The following is a 20,924-nucleotide window of genomic DNA, read 5'->3' as shown; positions in this document are numbered from 1 at the left end:
ACATTTTAGGTATATCAATACCAAATGAATGATACATGAGTGTACAATAAAGTATATATAGTTACAGTCTACAAAACAAGTTTCAGTTTCATTGAAGGATTTTGAAGTAATTTAAAAAGGTAGACTACTATTTTACAAGTGGCCTTAGTAGACCTAAGTCTTTATTACATTAAAAATTTCAGAATTGGGAAGGATATAAACGGGTTTTGTGTGTTGACCTTTTATGGGATTAAAAGTTGTTACTATCTTGATGACTGGGATGTGTTCATAACAGCCCTAATTTGTTCATGTAGTTCAATGAATATCCAGTAGATGACTTGGTTGGTAGTTTTATCACTACCAACTCTAAAACGAAAACGTTTTACTGGAATGCCACCGCTTTTCACAGATTAGGTTAATAAAACCCTTATCTTGTCTAAATTATTTTCCTCTGTGAGTATACCCCACGTAGTGATATAACACGTTTCAACTGCATTTTCAACTTTGTGGAATAAAGACTAGAAAAGTCAGTTTTTTACTTCCTATGAGAAGTGAAATATTGTGTAACCCGTTTTTTTTGGAATCCATGCTGATGGAAGATAGCACACTTTGGTTTGTTCCATGAAGAGAGATTTCAGTTAGGTGCCTTCTCCTTTTTGGCTTCTTTTGCTTTCTTTATAATTAATATAATAGCCGGACAGTGTGTTCTTTGAATGAAGTGGTGATATCTTAACAATTATTGTATATCCAATATATAGTGGGCGTCATATATAGATGTTCAGTAAATGCAAATTGAATGAATTAAATCATTTACCATCCCTAGGCCAAAGTTTCTTCCTCCAAAATGAAGGCTTTCAATTATTTAGTTGTTAAGTTTAAATTAAATCTAATTATTGTGAAGTGAATGGCTCCTAGTGGAGAAATGTGGAACCTTTTGGAAATCCTTCAGAAGTGACTGTTGCAATGATTGAATGGGAGATTTCCTTCAGTTACAATTTATCTGTTGAACATAATTTTTGAATAGCCTCTGTTTTGTGTGTGGCAATTATAAACGTCTGTTTTGTGTGTGACAGTTATAAAGGTAGATAAGATATACATCTTGTTTATAAGGATTTAAACTCTAGTCGAGTAGATATCTCAAAAGCAAGACTTTTTTAAGATAGTGTAATAGGGCGAAATGAATAATACGAAGATTCATGTGATTTGAAAGGCTTTATGGAGCAAATAAAGTTGATTTTTGAAGTTAGGATAGAATTTGACTAATCCTAGGTGAATGAGGGTAAATGGCCCATGCAGGATACTAGACAGATACGCTGAAGGGAAAATATATGTGGGATTTTCAGATGGTAGTGACTCCAGCTATTTATAGAGTCCCTTTGAAAAGAGGTGAAAGAGAAAATGCTTACAATTGACTCTGGAGCTAGATTCTAGATTAGAATAGTTTTGAATGCTTGGGAAACGTATAAAGGAAATACTTTGGGGTCTTTTGATTAGAGAGAAGGAGTATATATCCTTGAGTGGAGGTGAGGGGTATAAAAGGAAATAAAAAATTTTTGGAGCTATTCTAGAGGGAGGAAGGTGAAGAGGCTCTTTAATTTAGTAGTAGTGAGAGGAGAATTTTAGAGCTGGAAGGACCATGGATATTAATCTTTGCAGTACCTAACTTTTATCTGCTGAGCCATACAAATTCTGTTTTTTTTCATGTTTATGTAAGTACAAATATATATTCTCTTTTTCTTATATATCCCATAGCATTCAGCACACTCCTGTGCTGAGAGTATAATGGCAGTATTTGAAGCTAAGATCCTATCTCCCAAAATGTGATAGTCATATCATCCCTAACAAGCTTATTCTTCCGGGTAGTTATTGCCATTGACAGAGGAGTGTATGTCTTCTGTAAGCCTAGCTTTGATTGATGTAGCTGTTCAGGGATATATGCAAAAATAGGCACATTTATCTCATTTTTTTTCTCTTTAGCTTGGGTGAGTGCTGTATTCTTGTAGTAGTTGTCTCAGTTCAAGATTTTTCCAAGTTCTATTGCTTCCTACTTAGCCCGGTTGTTGGGAACAATAGTGTGGCTCAAAAAAGTTAATACCACTTATTACTGAGGAAATGGCATGTTTAAATTTAAGCAGGCCTTGAAAACCTTTAAAAGTATGTATGAGGAAAAAGTGAGTCAGTTCACAATTTGAATTTCACTCAAAAATTACCTGGTATATGATACAGTTAATAGAAGAAATTCTTACCGTCACATTAGTATTGTTGGGCTGCCTTTCTTCAGTTGGATTAGTGTTATAGTTGATACTTTCCTAGACTCTGAAATAGTTCTTTAAAGCTGTTTTGAGTAAATACCTTAAGATATTTACTGTATTTTTCAAATAAAATGATTAATTCTACTACCAAATAAATCTTAATTTCTAGTCTACTTCTAGTTTGCAAGAGGAGCTTTAAATGTATTTGTTTACTTAACATTTAAAAATCCATTTCTCCTTAAAATGAAACACTTTTTTTAAGGTAGGTAATATTTTAATTTGACTAGAAGTTAGTTTTTCTTTCTTAGTTTAAGCTACTTTGTTAGTCTTACAATTTTAATAAGTATAGTTATTACCTAGTGACATTTCTGTTTGTTTTTTTAAGGTTAACATTCAAGATGGTACATGCTGAAGCCTTTTCTCGTCCTTTGAGTCGGAATGAAGTTGTTGGTTTAATTTTCCGTTTGACAATATTTGGTGCAGTGACATACTTTACTATCAAATGGATGGTAGATGCAATTGATCCAACCAGAAAGCAAAAAGTAGAAGCTCAGAAACAGGTATGATTGAAATGTTTGAAGATCATTTTTCTTGTGGCTAACAAGTATTTTCCCCTCAAACTAAAAATTTGGTAGAGTTCACAAATTAATGAGAAATTCTATAAGACCCACATGAAAATGTATTGGTACTCATAGTTTTATTACTCTTACAAAGTACTAGTTTATTATGACATTATTTCAAGTCATTTTTTACTATATAAACAACTTATCAGAAGAAAAATGAATAAACAATAAAATATTGTGAACATCTTCATTAGAATATTTTTGTCAGCTTTGGAGGTAGGATCTAGATAAAAGTTTTTAGGCTAACCCAAAATATTTATCTTCAGTAATGATATGCCTTTTGCTGTGTATGACATCTGAAATGTGGATAATACTGAAACGCTCTCAGTCTTAAACTTATAAGCTACACTAAAATCTAATTAATGAATTGCTGTAAAAGTTGTTGATTATTAATATAAGCTGTAGTTTTTAACTTTTTATCTGCTGCCTCTTGTGTTCATTTCCTTTTAAAGGTGATTGGTTTCTGTTTGTCATCAAAACATAAAAACCTTAAAGGAGTCTTACAGATTTTTTGTGCTGTTAGGTGGCTTTTCCCTTCTGGCTCTTTTTTTTTAAACAATAATTAATAACTAAAATATTTATGTCTTATTGAATATCTTATGGTATAATAACATAATTTATCTTAAAATAATTAAATAGGATATTCATGGATTTTTAGATCTGTCTTGTGAGTTGTGACAGATTTATTCAATAAACATTTATTGAGTCCCTATCAACTACTTGGTACCAAAGAAAAAAGATGAATAAATCTTGTTCTTTCAAAATGCTATAGGCTATTGTGGGAAATAGGGATGTAAATAAATGACTGTTTTACAATGTTAGCCCTTAAATCAGTAAAAAGTGAAAACCACAATTTTATAAACACTGCAATAAGTATATATCTGAAAGGCACTTTGGAGAATTCTGAACTTTTTCCTTGAATTTTATTATAAAATAGTTGACTGAAGTTCTAGATGATATTATCAGCCTATTTGTAAGTCTCTGGGAAGTCTGACCAGGGTAGATTTAAAAAAAAAAAAAAAGAAAAACTAGTTTGAGTATATCCATATGTCAACCTAAGTGTTGGGTTTTTTTCTCCCACCTGAATCATGAAAGTCAGTTTAAGTATGATGTCAAAATATTATAAGTTACATCGTTTCAGCATTTTAAAAAGCAGAGGTGTGACTTTTAAAGATAATTTTGTCTTTTTTTCCCCTTGGCTTCTAAGAACTCCTGAATACACATATAGAAGACATACAGAAAGCTAAATATAGATGCTAAGTACTACAAGCCTTCATTGAAAATTATGTGTATAGTATTATTCTAAATATTAGGTATATGAAACATTAGATATTATGTCCTTCATAGTGCCCATGATAGGGAGAAAAGACTTGTTCATGATAATATAAATTATAATAGTAAGTAGCATATCCCAGTTGCTTATTGAGTAGTGTAGACAGAAACTGTGGCTCTTAGAGAAAATAGTAGTCACCAGTGATTGTGGTAGTTGAAGATGGCTTCATGAAAGAGCTTGGCCTCTAGGGTAGGCAAGGACAGTTTTAAATAGAATGCATTACTTTTTCCTTCTTTGGTCCTTTTTGTTTTGTTGGGTGGACTGAGGCTGATAAAAAATACACAGCATTTTAGAATCCATCATCAACTGAAAAGGAGGGATACTTTTTGCTTCTAGCATTATCCCATTCCACAGTAATTTACCAGTGTTTAAAACACTCAGGATGAAATGGGATTTGCTTGGCCAACGGCTATAGCTTCTTGGTTACCCCTCCTCTTCTCTTCCCTACATCTCTGACCAGCTGTTAAACATGCTGTTGACTGGCCATGTGGTGGCTCACGCCTATAATCCCAGCACTTTGGGAGGCCGAGACAGGCAGATCACTTGAGGTCAGGAGTTGGAGATCAGCCTGGCCAACATGGTGAAACCCCATCTCTAATAAAAATACAAAACATTAGCCGGACGTAGTGGTGCACACCCAGCTACTCGGGAGGTTGAGAATTGCTTGAACCCGGGAGGCAGAGGTTGCAGTGAGCCAAGATCACACCCCTGCACTCCAGCCTGGGCAACAGAGAGAGACTCCATCTCAAAAATAAATAAATAAATAAATATGCTGTTGACCAATTGAAGACTTCTGTAGGCTTAACTCATTAAATATATTTGAATGGGTGGGTGATATACAATGTTTTAAGGATAATTCACCTTATAGTAGTATGCAGAAGGAATAGGAGTCAAGAGGTACTAGAAGCAAGATCTGTTGGTGATAGACTGCAACAGTCCTGGCAAAGACTTAGAATAAGAGGGTGACAAAAGGAATGACTTGAGTGAAATAGACTAACACAAATGAATGCAGGAAGGACTTTGTGATGATGTGGGAAAAGAAAAAGGACATCTTAAAATCTTAAAAACGAACCAAAGATTTGTCTGGATACCTCAAAGACTTATAATATCTTTTATAGAGGTTTGGAAACTGGTAGGTAGGGCAAATTTATGAGAAGATGACATTTGATCTGGCCATGTTGGGTTTGTGTTGGTGGTAGGAATTCAGGAGGAAATGTTCATATAGCAATTGAAGTTGCAGGTCTGAATCTCAGAAAAAAGGTCAATCCAGAGGTATATTTCCTTATCGATGGTTATAAGTAGTTGAAGTCGTTAGAACAGTGAGTAGGCCATATGGTTATTCCTGTATGTGTAGATATCATTTGTAGAACTTTTCCCAAATTATTCCCCATCTCCCCTCACCACCATCAAGATTTATACATATATTTGTTGAGAAATTCTAATGTAATTGTCACTGTAATAAATGGTAATGACTATACTAAGAGTGATGAAGTCTCCAAAAGAGGTGGTGTAATGCAGCATAATTGGTAAGCTGAAGCGTAAGCCTTGATACATTTCCTTTATTTAGGGTATAGAAAGATGATGTGCAGCCAGTGAAGAATGAATAGGTCAGTATGGGTAACAAGACTGACTCCTGCTGAAAACAGCTAAAGAAGCTTGATAATTTTTTAAAAATCTTGTTTTATTTATTTATTTATTTATTTATTTTTGAGTTGGAGTCTTGCTGTGTTGCACAGGCTGGAGTGCAGTGGTACAATCTCAGCTCGCTGTACCCTGCTTCTTCCGGGTTCAAGTGATTCTCCTGCCTCAGCCTCCGGAGTAGCTGGGATTACAGAAGTGTGCAACCACACGTGGCTAATTTTTGTAGTTTTAGTAGAGACGGGGTTTCACCATGTTGACCAGGCTGGTCTTGAACTCCTGACCTCAAGTGATCTGCCCGCTTTGGCCTCCCAAAGTGCTGAGATTACAGGTGTGGGCCACTGTGTCTGGCCTAAAAATCTTAAAGGCATTCATGAGCTATCAACAAAGTAAAGAATGCAGGTTAAAAACTTAAGGCAAAAATTTCAGAAAGCTAAGGTGAGCTTGATTGCCAGCCTTTACCTTGAGAGAATTTGCTGAATTCTGTTTTTATGATTTCAGAGGGGCTCAGTATACAAAACATAGGGCCAATCTAAAGTAGGTAGTTTCATAGATGATACTCCTATAAATCTAGAACCCCAAAAGGCTATCTGTAGTATTTCAACTAAAGATAAAGACACAGTGTTTTAAAGATGAATAGTTTAAAGAGAGAAATTTAAGCCATATGCTGGGTGAAGTAACACATCTAAAATATAGATTCAGAAAGGTTGAAAGTAAAAAGATGGAAATGTATATACCACACAAATATAAGAAGAAAACTGGCTGGGCAAAAAGAAATTGTAAGGCAAAGATATTGGAGAAAATGTTTGCTACATAAATGATGAAAGATTCAATTCACCAATAAATATAACATTTCTATTTGTGTGTAACTATTGATGTAGCCTGAAAATACATAAAGCAAAAATATGATATAACTACAGGGAAAAATGGACATCTCCATCAACATGGTGAGAGACTTTTAACACCTAATAATTGTTCAGATTTTTTAAAAATTAAGGATATAGAAGATTTAAATAAAAAATGGACATGTATAGTATATTGTGCCAAAATAAATGCAAAATACATATCTGAAGCACATATGATTTGTGAAAATAAACCGAATACTAGATAATAAAGCAAATCTCAAGTTTCATAATATTGGTAGCGTATTTATTAACATTTCCTGGCTATAGTGCAGTACAGTAGAGATCATTAGAAAAATAAGTTTGGAAAGTATGAAATATTTTAAAATGACTCCTGGGTAAAAGAAAGCACATAATAATGAAATGAATGGAAATAATAACATAAGTTAATGAAATAGAAAGTGAATATACAGTAGAGAAAAATCAATAAAACCCAAAATTGTTTTTTTGAAAAGACATAAAATCAAGACTTTTCAAACCGACAAGAAAAAAGTTACCAATAAAATACTACCTGGAACAAAAAAGGCCTAATATTGCTGTAGATATTAAAAACAAGGGCCGGGCACGGTGGCTTACACCTGTAATCCTAGCACTTTGAGAGTCTGAGGCAGGTAGATCACCTGAGGTCAGGAGTTTGAGACCAGCCTGGCCAACATTGTGAAACCCTGTCTCTACTAAAAATACAAAATTAGCCGGGCGTGGTGGCATGTTCCTGTAGTCGCAGATACTCAGGAGGAGAATCGCTTGAATCCAGGAGGCGGGGGTTACAATGAGCCGAGATTGCGCCATTGCACTCCAGCCTGGGCAACAAGAGAGAAACTCCATCTCAAAATAAATAAATAAATAAATAAATAAATAAAATTAATAAATAAAAAAAATTAGGACTGTTCATAACTATAGTGGGCCCTTGAACAACAAACAACGTGTTTAAACTGCATAGGTCCACTCATAAGCAGATTTTTTTTTTTTTAATGAAAGTTCAATTGAGTGTGCCCGTCTCTCCTGCCACTCCTTCCACCTTCACCTCTTTTACCTCTGCCAACCTGAGACAGAAAGACCAACCTCTCTTCCTCACGCTACTCAACATGAAGATGATGAGGATGAAGTTAATATATTTCCCTTTATGATTTTTTAAATAACATGCTTTCTCTAGGTTACTTTATTGCAAGAATACAGTATACAAACTATGTTATTAACTGTTTCTGTTAGTGATAAGGTCAACAGTAGGCTATTTTAGTAGTTCAGTTTGAGGGGAGTCAAAAGTTCTCTATGGATTTTTGAGTGTGTTGGGGTCAGTATCCCAATCCCTGTATTGTGTAAGGGTCAACTGTTACGTCGATAAATTTGAGAACTTAGGTATGGGTAAACCCTTAGAAAAATATGCATTTCTAAAACTGACTTAAGAAGAAATAGAATACATGGTTAGTTCCATAACTATGAAATAAGTTAATAGTGAAAATATCTTTTTATAAAGAAAACTTCAGGCCCATAGAACTTTATAGCAAATTCTGCCAGTATTTAAGGAACAAATTAATAATAACCAATTTATGCAAATTCTTCTAGAATATAGGAAACGAGGGAACACTTCCAAACCTTTTTGTGAGGCTAGCATAACTACAGTTCTAAAACCTATAGTAGTCTGTAATTTCTCTCTCTCCCTTCTAAATTGGTATAAGAATCTTAAATGTCAGCAAGTTAAATTCAGCAATATAGAAAAAATATAATGCGACCAGTTGGATTTATCCCAGGAGTTTAAGCCTGGCTTCATTTAAGGGATGGGAAATCAATATAATATGCAACATTAACAGATTAAAGAATAAAACCTGTATGATTCTCCCAATAAATGCAGAAAAGGCCTTAAGCATTCATTCATGGTTTTAGAAAAGCTTTTAATAAAATGGGAACAGAAGATAGTGTTCTTTTTGTTTTGTTTTGTTTTTTGTGTTTTCTTTTAGACGGAGCCTTGCTCTGTTGCCCAGGCTGGAGTGCAGTGGCATGATTTTGGCTCACTGCAACCTCTGCCTCCCGGCTTCAGGCGATCTTTAACTTGATAAAATGCATTTACTAAAACAAATGTATTTTATAGTGAAGAATTGGAAACATTCTCTTTATGATTAGGAGCAAGCCTGTTGTCTTTCATTACTTTTCATTACTTTTTTTTTTTTTTTGGCTTTTCTTTGTTTACTTTGTTTACTTCTTTGTTTACTTTTACTTCTGTTTAACATTTTACTGAGTTACTAGCCACTGCCTAAGTCAAAAAGGTGGGGATTGGAAAAGAAGAAACTAAATAGTCATTATTAATGGATAATATGATAATCTACATAGAAAGCCAAAGAATGTTTACAAGCTATCAGGATTCATGAGAGTTTGATGGGTTTGCTGGATTTAAAATCAGTATACGAAAATCAGCTGTTTCTGTATACCCATCATGTTTTAAAATGTCATTTAAAAAAAGCATTATATAGTAGCATCAAAAATATAAAACAACGGACAAACATAAGACATACAACACATTCATAGAGAAAATTATAAAACTATTGAAAGTTTAGTTAAATTCAACATCAGTACAAAAATACTGGCAGATTTTCGTTTTGTTGTATTTTTTCCTGAAATTCATGTGGAAGAACAAAAGTCTATAAATAGGGAAGGCAATCCTAAAACACAAAGTTTTATTTAACTACTTTGGGTCTTGAGTTTTCTTATCTGTAAAAGAAATAATAATAGCACTTACCTTGTTGGGTTGCTATTGAAATTAAATATATAATGTAAAATATAACAGTGCTGCATAAGTGTTTCCTATTATTTTTATAACTTAAAAGATTTGTACTGAGGACATATATAGAATGCATCTGAATCAGTAAGAAAAAATAATAGAAAAATGGGCAAAGAAACTTAAATAGACACATTAAAAAAGAAAAATCTCCAGTGGTCAATAAACATATGAAAAGATGCACAAACTGATTAGAAATCAAGGAAATGCAAATTAAAGTCAAATTGATATACCTTTTCACCCCTGCCAGGTTGTAAAGTTTTAAGTCTGTCAATAACGTGCTGGAGAGAATGTGGAACAGTAGGAACAAAAGTATTGCTGTTGGGAATATAAATTAGTATAACTATTTTGGAAGATAGTTTGGCATTATCTAGTAAAGTTGAAAATGTGCATAGTCAGTGATCCACAAGTTTCATTCTGGGCATATAGCGAAGAACCAGGAGATACATACAAGAGTGCTCATAGCAGCCCTGCTTGTAATGGAAAAAAGCAGGAACCAATCTGAATATTTGTATAAATGTTGGTATATGCACATATAGGAGAGGAAAAACACTTTTCCTTCTACCGTTCTGAATTCTCATTTGGGCCTCTATAACAAAAGATAGATAAACAAGAGAAAAACAAACAAGTTTATTAACATGTATCAAGCATGCAACCAATAGGAGTACCAGAGATGAGTAACTCAAAAGTTTGGTTAGAACTTGAGTGTATATAGTATCTTGGCAAAGAAACAAATTTTTAAAGAAGCGATCAGACAAAAGAAAAGGAGTCTCTAGGGGCAGCAAACTGTGGGAAACTAATGGTAGATGAAGACTAGTTGGTAAAGTTTGTTATGCAGATTCCTCTGGCTAAGTGTCTAAAGTTGTCTCCTTTGATTAACTTTCGTCCTTCCTCGTAAAGAGAAGAGGAGGGAGACCTTTGTGAATTTATTGTTTTTAGGCAAGTAGGAGTAGGGCAGATAGCTTTTCTTGTATCTGTTTTTTTCTAAATTTCCCTCAACTCAAAATAATTATTATGCCAGAGTGGCATACTTTGGTCTGCACATGCCAGAGCATAATATTCGCGGAGAAAAGTGAATGAAATACAGATGCTCAACAACTCTAAGAAATAGTGAGATGAAAATGTCACAGAAGAGTACATATAGTGTGATCCCATGTAGACATTCTGAAACATGTAAAACTAAACCTTAGGGAATCAAACATATGGTTAAGTTAAAGAAAAGCAAGAGATGATTTCAATTTAGGATTGTGATTTTTTTTTCTGGGAGACGAGAAGATCTGTATTTGGAGAGGGCCTCACCGAAGGACTTGAAAGATAATAATAATGTTCTTGTTCTTAAACCTGGATTGGTATTGATTATATTGTGTTTCTTTATACCTCATCTAAACAGTCTAAGATATTATTTTATCTACCTAGTTATTAGTAAAAGCACTGTAAGAACTTAAAAAAAAAAATGACCAGAGGAGTGAGAATAAAACCAAGATGATGTTTAGGGTACTGGTGATAGTCTTTTCTACATGAATACATCTGAAGTACACAGAGTACTGCAGACAGTCATAGTGGTTCACTGTGGCAGTGATTGTCAACTGAAACACTATGTTCTGCAAAGAAATAATCAGAATTTGGGGAAGTTTGTGGGGTGGCAAATATAATTTTTTAAAACCTCAGAGATTATTTGGTTATCCCTCTTCTCACTTCTTTCCCACTGTCTGGGGAATCACTTGCATAAAGTCACCATAGCCAAAGAAGGAGAAGGTTGCAAAAGAGAATTGATTTTAAACGTGTTATAGAATGGTCAAGGAGAAGAAGAGGTCATGAGGAATATGATCTAAGAAAGTGATCAGTAAATTTAGTGAAATTAAGCTTGGAGAGAGTAATTTCCATTTGGTGGAGGCAGCAAGTATAATTTGAGGTAAAAGAACATGGTCATTCTAGAGTTGGGGGAAAAGAAAAAAAAAAGGGAGAAGGTTAGTGGAGGAGGAGGAGGTAGAGAGGGGCTGCCTAAAAGGATATTTAATAGATGGAGGAAGGTCCCAGAAGAATCAGGAGGGGTTGGGGTCAGTAGTTATGGGAACATTTTTAGGGTAGAGTTGTTTTATGTTTAGTAGCATGAAGGGGAGAGATTGTGACTAAAAGTGAGTGAGTGGAGGAGGTTGGGGGCCTATTTAGGTAAATATGTGATCAGTATTTAATGAGATTAAATCATTGTGGATTTTGAAATATTAGGGCATGTTTGAAGAAAGCATGCATTTATTGGGAACTCAATTGTTTTGTTACTATTCTCAAGCATTACTCAGCAACTTGGTGGCAGATAGAGTGAATGGTAGTGTTAAATTGGCATTGGGGATGGAGCTGACTGGTATAACAAGAAGTGTAAGGATTTCTCAGGAGCACATCATTAAAGTAATGACTGTGTGATTCAGGCCATTTAGAAAGTTAAGTATTACCAGATGGGAGATAATTTAGTTGGAGAATAGAAAAGAATTAAGGAATTAGAATACACATTAAAGGCAAGGATCAGGTGTGAATGTGGGAGGAGGAAGGTGTGACTTTTGTGGTCAGAATGAAAGAGGATTGAATCTAAAAGCTTAGATGTAGAACACTTTGAGTATACCAGATAATCAGTGGGCCCCATGTGATTTTAAAGGCAATACGGTTTTGAGATGAGAGGTAGAAGATGACATAGTTGCATCAAATCAGAAACAGTATCCTGGAAGTATACCGTTATGTTGGATTAAACAATGTATTTGTAAATTTCTAGACTTGAAGCCAGGAAAACCTTCAGTTTGTGAAAGGCAGGAGATTTAATTGGTAATGAGAGAGGAGATGGTTTCAACATGGTGTTGTACAGGGACTGGGATTTTTCTGGGCACATACTGCTGCTTGGATCATATTTAGATGTAGTAGAAGAGTTTTGATAAGCTATGTTTTTGATGAAAGGGTGGGTTAAGTTAGTTGAGATGTGTAGTTTAATAGATTTAAAGTGCAGGATGAATATGTGTTAACTGTCTTGGGAATTTATAAATACAGTATTTTGTTTAGCATATTAATTAGACTACATAGGCTGGGCATGGTGGCTCATACCTGTAATCCCAGCACTTTGGGAAGCTGAGGCAGGTGGATCACCTGAGGTCAGGAGGTCAAGACCAGCCTGGTCAACATGGCAAAACCCCGTCTCTACTAAAAATACAAAAATTAGGTGGACATGGTAATGGGTGCCTGTAGTCCCATCTACTTGGGAGGCTAAGGCAGGAGAATCGCTTGAACCCTAGTGGCGAAGGTTGCAGTGAGCCGAGATCTCACCATTGCATTCCAGCCTGGGTGACAGAGTAAGACCCTGTCTCAAAATAATAATAATTAGACTATATAATTTTCTTGAAATTGTGGTTTAGTAGTCATCAAGGGCCAGGAAAGATTTCATACACGAGTTATACACAGAAAGTGACTTACTATGACATTAATTATTTAACTTAACGTCTTCCTATTGTTAGTCCTATCATTACACTGTAGACTTGAAAACTATTTCTGTTATTTTGAGAGAAGTAAGAGCTGAAGTTTTCTGTGAAGGAGTGTACTGAAAAAAACTTTAAAAACTTGGAACTCTCAACTGCCAGGAATTTTAAGAGCAGCTATCACAGAATGCCAACTTGGAAGAGCTAACATTTGTTAACCCCAGAAAGCTGTTGTGAACTCCATTGCCAGTCAAGTGGCTTTTAAACCCAAGGTTTACTGGAGCTGAGTCTTATAAGACTGAGAAGCTGAAGTAAATAAAATTGAGATAGGAGTCAGTAAGGAACAAGCAGTTAGTATTGCCTAGGTAGGTAAGGGAGTAGATACAAGTGATGAGGAAAGAAAAGCAATAGGAGCTGGGAATCAGAGGAGAAAAAACTCTGCAGTATTGTTTTCTACACAAGCATAGTAGAAGAGCACCATAGTACTGCGAACCGCAAATATCTGAGACAGGTCTCAGTTAATTTACAAAGTTTATTTTGCCAAGGTTGAGAACATGCACCCATGACACAGCCTCAGGAGGTCCTGATGACATGTGCCCAGGGTGTTCAGAGCAGTTTGGTTTTATACATTTTAGGGATACATGAGACGTCAGTCAGCATATGTAAAATGAACATTGGTTCGGTCCAGCTGGAAGCAAAGGTGAGGCAACCTGAAGCAGGGAGGAGACTTCCAGGTCATAAGTAGATAAGAGACCAATGGTTGCATTCTTTTGAGTTTCTGATTAGCCTCTCCAAAAGAGGCAAGCAGATACGCGTTTATCTCAGCAGAGGGGTGACTTTGAATAGAATGGAAGGCAGATTTGCCCTAAGCAATTCCCAGCTTGACTTTTCCCTTTAGTGATTTGGGGTCTCCAAGATTTATTTTCCTTTCATATTTCCTCCCTTTTTAAAAATCTTTTGGAGAAAGCATATTTAGAAGAAAATGAGTCTCTGGTCTCAAGTTTCGTCTGATCTCTCATGGCTAGGATGGTTTATTCCTTGACGGATAGGTCCTGAGTTATTAGGAAAGCTCAATTTTAGCTGGTTGTGAAGTCTCATGTCTTGTGAAGAGAAAACGGGGAGGAAGGGAGAAAAACAACAAAAAACAAAAAACAAATCCTGGAAAATTTATATAGGCCACATTACCTGAAGTCCATATGTCAGTAGGCAGGTATTAAAGTGGCTTATGTATGTAACTAAGTTGCTGTTCTTTTCTTCTGAAGTTTAAGTGTCTAGCTTCAGTTCTTAGGGCATTAAGAAAGCACAGCTTAGTTTTCAGTGACTCCAAATTAGGAAAAATGGGGGAAAAAAGAAGGGAAATAAATTGAAAACATTATTTTGAAGACTTGTAGCCAAGAAAAGTTTGAATTCTGTCTAAACTATAGAAAATAATAAAAATTGAAAAATATTAGGCAGGACTAGAATCTAACAATAGGTATACTATAGTTTTTGAAACATAATTTCTCTGTCTCCAGTTTCTCATTTTCACTAAAGACAAATTATGGTAGGACTGATTTGCTTTCTTCTAATTGGCCAGATTGTTTGTATATAGTGCAGCAAGAATAATTATTTTGTTACATAGGCTTTTTTTTTTTTTCGTGACATAGTCTTGCTCTGTCACCCAGGCTGGAGTGCGGTGGCGGGATCTCGGGGGTGATCTGCCTGCCCTGGCCTCCCAAAGTGCTGGGATTACAGGCATGAGCCACTGCGCCCTGCCTACATAGGCTTTTAAATTGGCTTTGATAGAACTTTGTTCCATAGAAATAATCTCAGGTAAGACTTTTTTAAAGCCAAGCCCAGCCATGGATTTGTACCATCAAATACCTGTGAATTGGGTGAATTCCTCTCCTCTTGATTCCAAGATAAACTTGGGGCTCCTGGGCCTGTCAGAAAGTGACATTCTTTACTTAACAACAGGTCAGAAACCCTGTACAGGGACTGTGTAGATAAGGTGTGAAGCCAGTTTTCCCAAGGGGCTTTCATTGGCTCTGTAAGTCAAGTTTGATTCCTTAAAGGAAAGCACACCATTCCAGTCAAAGCCTTGGTAAAATAACTAGTTTCTCCAATTGTGTCCTGTTACAAATGAAAACAGATTCTTATTGCACTTACGCAAATAACTGTATTGCCATAAGTTAAGAATACTCACAAATAGTTTCCAAATTCTAGAGAAATCAGGTAGAGAGAAACAAATATGCTCCAAATTTTGTTCATAGGAGTCTACTGAATTGTTAGAAGCTGTCAATAGTGCAAAAGAAAAGTTTCTTTGAAAAAAACAAAACAAAGGATCAGCAACATTTTAAGCAAAAAGTCAAAAAGATAACTTCAGTCTTCTGTTAATTCAGTCCATGCAGTTAATTCCTGTTCTGTTTGATATTCATGGATGTTCCAGCTCTCTGTGAGTCCTGAAAGTTTTTCTTCTATTTTGATGTCACAATCTCCAATCAGAAACATTCATTCAAGAGCACCTGTTAGAGTTTTATAGCTGATTATAAAACCACCTTCTAAAGAGGACCAAAAGAAGGTAACAATTGTCCATGGATGACAAAAGTTTTAGGGTAGCCATAGTCAAAGACATAGTTGACAAGGGAATTTATTATCTCTGTGGCACACAATAATTATAATTATTATTGATAATGTACATTAAGTCATATCAGAATTATAGGAGTTTCTCATAATTTTAGGACACATACTAATAACATTAAGTCATATCAGAATTATAGGAGTTTCTCATAATTTTAGGACACATACTAATAACATCTCTACAAATACAGACCAAGAAAACCAAACACCATTTCTTATATGACAATGTTTCCTGTGTAATTTTTTTTACTAAATAAGCCAAATTATGTCATTTTTTGAACTTTATAGGGAACCTAATGTCTTAAAGAATTAATTAGGTCAAAAAAAAGACATAATTTATCATTTGATTTTGGAAAGTTTGTCAAATATCAAAGGTTTAAAAAACTTCATACTACAGGTCATTGTAAAATAAGTCATTCATTTCACCAAAGTGATAACTCAGAAAAAGGTGAAAACCTTCATTCTTTGAGAGAGGAGACTTAATTCTCCAAACGATAAGGCCTAATAAAAACAGCATGAAACCAATTCAATTTATTTTTAAAAGTTTATAAACAGTCTCCAAAATTTTAATCTTGACCATAAGATATAACTTCCTTAAGCCTTTCACAGCATTTATAACCTTTATTAAGGAGTCAGTTAATGCTTCAACAAAACCTTGTTAATCTGACACAGGGGCCCATATGTTGGTTTTGCATTAGTGTGCCTTTGATATGAATGATTAATTTATAGAGAAGCTGAACTTATTTTCTCTCTCAAAATTGGGCCTTCCAATTTCACATGCCCGCCTCTTCTATGATAGTCCCTGGGCCTTGAGGAGTTGAATACCTTTAATTTCTGGCCTTGTGTTTTAGAAACGCAGTTTATTTTGATTGGCATTTTCTACGGAGCCTGAAGATGAGGCTTTAATTGCTGTCAGTGTTTATGATTTAGTAGGACTTGGTGTCCTTTTTAGACCCAGAAGTCAAAGCCATGTAACTCAATGGCACAGGTACTTTGAACATATAGAAAGATACATGAATGTTAATAACCTTAATTAAAAATTTTTTTTTTTAATTTCAGCTTTTTTCCCCAAGCAAACCAAACTGAATCATAATAGCATAGAATTGTTTCAATAAACCATAAAATATGTTAGACCAGTTACTAAAAGGCAACAGAAAAGACCTGCACTGCCAGAATATTATGTTGGAAGAAAACATTTCCTTTGGATATTCATGAAAACATTGTTAGCATCAGGCCATAACAAACAGAACTTGAGGAAAAAAACTTAATATGAGCTGAAAATGAGTTGAAAGAGAGTGTTACAATTTCACACCCTTTAAAAGGAGAGAGAAAACTAAAAACAGTGAGATGCAATAAAAGTTGAAGTTTGGGTTAGAAAAAAATTAAAATCTCTTATAATTTATTAAACGTGAATCAATAACTTAAGAAAATGTCATTGTTTTAACCAGTGATTTAGTGTGTGTGTATATATATATAGACATAATTTTTTTTACATCAAGTCCAATCATCTCTAGAAAGACCATTTTAATTTCCCTTTAATTATATAAAAGTTTCTTTGTTCTTTTTTTTTTTAAATAAATCCTCTTATTGTGTCTTAGACCATTCATGACATGCTTGGACTCTGTGGTTTGTCCTGACCATCCTCTTTCTTAAGCAGTCATTTTATTGTAGGACTAAATTTACCATATAAGAGTCTTTCTCATTATTTCTTTTTAAGCTTTCTTACCAAAACAACCCTCTTTATTTTTACAACTTTCTTTACATGTCTCTTACTTCCTGGTTCCTTTTACCTTCTTTTATACATGACCTAAATAAGCATTGAATTAGACAAAAATTGTTCACCTTTTTAAAAAGGACACACTTTTTAAAAAAAAAAATATTTTTCTACAATATATTTTATTGAAATATTTATTATTTTAGTATAACTTTAGATTCTAAATTATGATGAGTTTGTCTACAATTATCCCATTGCATTTACCTAATTATTTTAATTGTTTACCTAGACTATTTATGAAAACTGTAATGGTCATCATTTAAAGTTACAGAACCACCATTGCAAAATCATAACTGAGACAGTGAAAAAGATCTGACCTAACTCACCCCATCTTGCTTCTAACCTCCAAGCTGTCCTCATTCATTCCTGGGCATAGGCTGAACTAACTTCGGGAGGAACTTGGTTTATAGTTTAGCTTTGAAACAAAGGCAATAACAGCCTTTTCCCAAAACAAACCTTACTGACTATGGTCTAGACTGCCTAAAGCCACAAGATTAGAAGTTATGATAATCTTACTAACTTCAAGATGTAGCTATTTTCATTAAACCAATATCAATGTCTTATTTATTAACAATTACGCAAGCAAAGATCATTCTGTTTGGGGCTGGATTTATGGTTTTTAATCCCTATGCCAAATTTTGACACCTTAATAGTATTTTGCAGGGATAAGTATGAAATTGCTTGATTAATAAATGCAAACAAAAATATATTTTGGCAATTCTTAAGATATTTCTAATATTATTTTGCCAGTAATTTTAAAGCTAGCTTATTTATTAAAGATTTTATTAAATTATGTAAACTTGAAAAAGCATTTGACGAGTCTTCTCTTTTTTCCTGATGAAGTATTTGATTCCAAGCACTTTTATTTTCTTAAGCCAATTAGTTAGAGCTCTTTTATATATTTTCAGTAGTGAAACATTGTGTACACAACACATAAATACATAGACATATTAGGCATGCTGATAGAAGTACATATTATAGATTCATAAAAATTTTATTTTCCTACCATAGACTTCAAATTCTTAATAACCTTTTTCACTACCCTAGGCAGTTGTCAGCTAAATAGCCTTTAATTTGCATGTTAAAGGAAACAACTCAGGTGAAAATCAGATAGCCAAATTTACACCATAAAGTATGGAAAGAAAACGTCTAGTGTGCTAAGAGGGAAATTAAAGTGGATTTAATTGCCAATTAAACATAAAGCTATGGAAATTATAAAGGCATTTTAAATACACACACACACACACACACACACACACACCCCCTATAGCTTTTACTTTGGAACTTTAGCCATGAGATAAATACAAATTCACTGGCTTGCAAAAAAAAAACACAAAAAACCTGTTAGATCCAAACAGTGGTTTTTATCTTAGTAGAAAAATAACAGCAGATTCAAAGCAGCCAGAAATGAAAGACACAGAAAGAGAACGTAGCAACTCTGTAGTTTGTAGGTCGACCTTAGGGTTCTTTTTCTTTAATGTAAATGTGCACAAAGACCATGTTACTTCCGTTTTACATAAACTCTGGCAAGTAGTGGTGCCATAAAACCTACGGAGTGCTTGAAAGGGGATCATTCTCCTCATTCTTAGAACGTTTCCCACTTTTTCTTAAAAGGAGGAACTGAGCTGTGGCCTAGGGTTTTTATGTGTGGATGGATGTGTGCTGCTTGTGGGCAGGACTCCACAGTGTGTCACCACTGAGTTGTTTCTGCCCTCTTACATGTCTTGGTTTCTCTCTCCAGAGGTCCATGACCTCTGAGAGGGCTCAAAACATGGGATGATCAGGACTTATGTGTGTTTCCTGGACAAGCCTTTTTAAAAATTAATTTTTGTTGGGGATTTTCTTGTAAGGCCACTGCACGTCGAGGGAGGTTAACCCCCTGTACACTCCCATTAGGCCCCCGGTCACCCAGGGGCACCTTTTGGCTGGGGGGAGCAAAACACCCTTTCTCTTTGGAGCTGAGAAAACTCAATCTGTCATTTACCTGCAAAAACAACAGTTCAGTTCCTCACACAAATGTGCGCAGAAAAGCCAAACAGAGATTAATTTTGGTAGAAAAGGCGATAGAGAAGACCCTTTAGAATGCATCTCTGAAGTAGAATCAGGATCCTTAACAACTTCGTAGGAGAAAAAACAGCCAAGACCACTTCCTGTAAACTGTGCTCAGCCACCCCTAACTTGTAGCTCTCATTCACCATTACACACACCAAGGTCAAATCCTCTCGTGGTACAAGATAATCTCTGGTACCCCCAAGCCAAACAAGTCAGGTCATGGAATAATATGGAAACAGAGGTTTAGACTTAAGAAGACTCTGCCCATGACTCTTGAAACTCCACAAGGAAAACAGAACACTCTAAAAGGGGTGAGTGGTGTCTTTGTTCTGAATTCTTTTAATGGGTTCAAGTCATTAGAAACCTTCTCTAGATTTTTTGGTACTACAGATGGCAAAGGGGGAAGGAGGTATAGGGTGGAAGAAAAGTAAATGAAAGAACATTTGTTTTTTTAAGACAGTAAGCAAACACAGAAACCAAGCGCATGGATTTTTGTTTTTGTTTTTTTTTCTTTCCTCTTTTGCAGCTGCGAGGAATTTTAGCCAAATTAGAGAGGTTTTGTTACCCATAATTTGGAATTCTCAGATTTGACCAAGTCAAGTAGAGTTTGTCAAATCTGATGGGAGAAAGACCAGAACAAACAAACAACAAAAAACCCAACAATATGATCACTGACTGTGCTAATGGTAAGGAGAAATTAAGACCAGCTAGTTGTTAAACTTTAGCCAAGACAAAACCCCAATTCAGCTACTTACCCAGGGATAGGTCTCAGGCTGAAGACTGCTCTCTACATCCTAGAAGCAGGAAAAAAGTCAAACTCATCTTCCCTGCTAGGAGTGAGCTCAAACTCTGTAAAGGAGTTACCTTCTGTCCATCGCTATGTAAGCAGGAAATCTTGCTTTCCTTGTTGGAAGCAAGTGAAACTCCAAAAAAAGGGAGTTGTATTGCAAAATAAACTTTAGGTCTCCACCAAATTTTGGGAGATCAGGTGTTATCTGGAGGGGATACTCACAGACATCAGCAAATAGTACTATCGGTTTGAGCCATAAAGTTAGCTCATGCTGGTGTCAAGCTCCGATAGGATATTTGTCAAAGGTCAGGGTCACCTCCACTCAGAATCCCTTCATGGTCACCAAAATGTGAACCCCACATATCTGAGACAGGTCTCAGTTAATTTAGAAAGTTTATTTTGCCAAGGTTGAGTACACGGGACCATGACACAGCTGCAGGAGGTCCTGAGACATGTGCCCAAAGTGGTCAGAGAACAGTTTGGTTTTATACATTTTAGGGAGACACGAAACATCAGTCAACATATGTAAGATGAACATTGGGTTCTGTCCGGAACTGGAAACAAAGGCAGGACAACTTGAAGCAGGGAGGGGGCTTCCAGGTCATAGGTAGATAAGAGGCAAATGATTGCATTCTTTTGAATTTCTTACTAGCTTCTCTAAAGGAGGCAGTAAGATATACATTTATCCCAGTGAGCCAGAGGGGTGACTTTGAATAGAATGGGAGGCAGGTTTGCCCTAA

General features: G+C 35.2%; 1 protein-coding gene and 1 long non-coding RNA gene across 19 annotated transcripts in view; one reads left to right on the top strand and one right to left on the bottom strand.

Moving 5' to 3' along the window:
* ATAD1 (ATPase family AAA domain containing 1) overlaps nt 1-20,924 on the top strand; it is an 89,850-nt gene that overhangs the window by 24,133 nt on the left and 44,793 nt on the right. For 17 of the 18 annotated variants that reach the window (NR_135914.2, XM_005270252.6, XM_047425908.1 and 14 more), the window contains one exon: nt 2,617-2,791. Coding sequence is in view for 15 of the 18 variants with exons in the window: in XM_005270252.6 (XP_005270309.1) it covers nt 2,630-2,791 (162 nt within the window). In the remaining 3 variants the exon portion in view is untranslated. Of the gene's footprint in view, nt 1-2,616; nt 2,792-16,011; nt 16,017-20,924 lie in introns of those variants that run through there. The other variant, XM_011540302.2, reaches the window with a different exon arrangement.
* Nucleotides 13,464-20,924, bottom strand: part of LOC124902476 (uncharacterized) — a 36,088-nt gene continuing 28,627 nt past the window's right edge. The window contains exons 2-3 of the long non-coding RNA XR_007062224.1: nt 20,150-20,188; nt 13,464-15,453 (exon numbers count right to left, since the gene is read on the bottom strand). This is a non-coding gene — a long non-coding RNA (uncharacterized LOC124902476). The remainder of the gene's footprint in view (nt 15,454-20,149; nt 20,189-20,924) is intronic.

The sequence above is a fragment of the Homo sapiens genome, chromosome 10 (genome assembly GCF_000001405.40).
Source record: "Homo sapiens chromosome 10, GRCh38.p14 Primary Assembly".
Lineage (NCBI taxonomy): Eukaryota > Metazoa > Chordata > Mammalia > Primates > Hominidae > Homo > Homo sapiens.
This window is presented reverse-complemented; position numbering and strand designations above follow the sequence as displayed.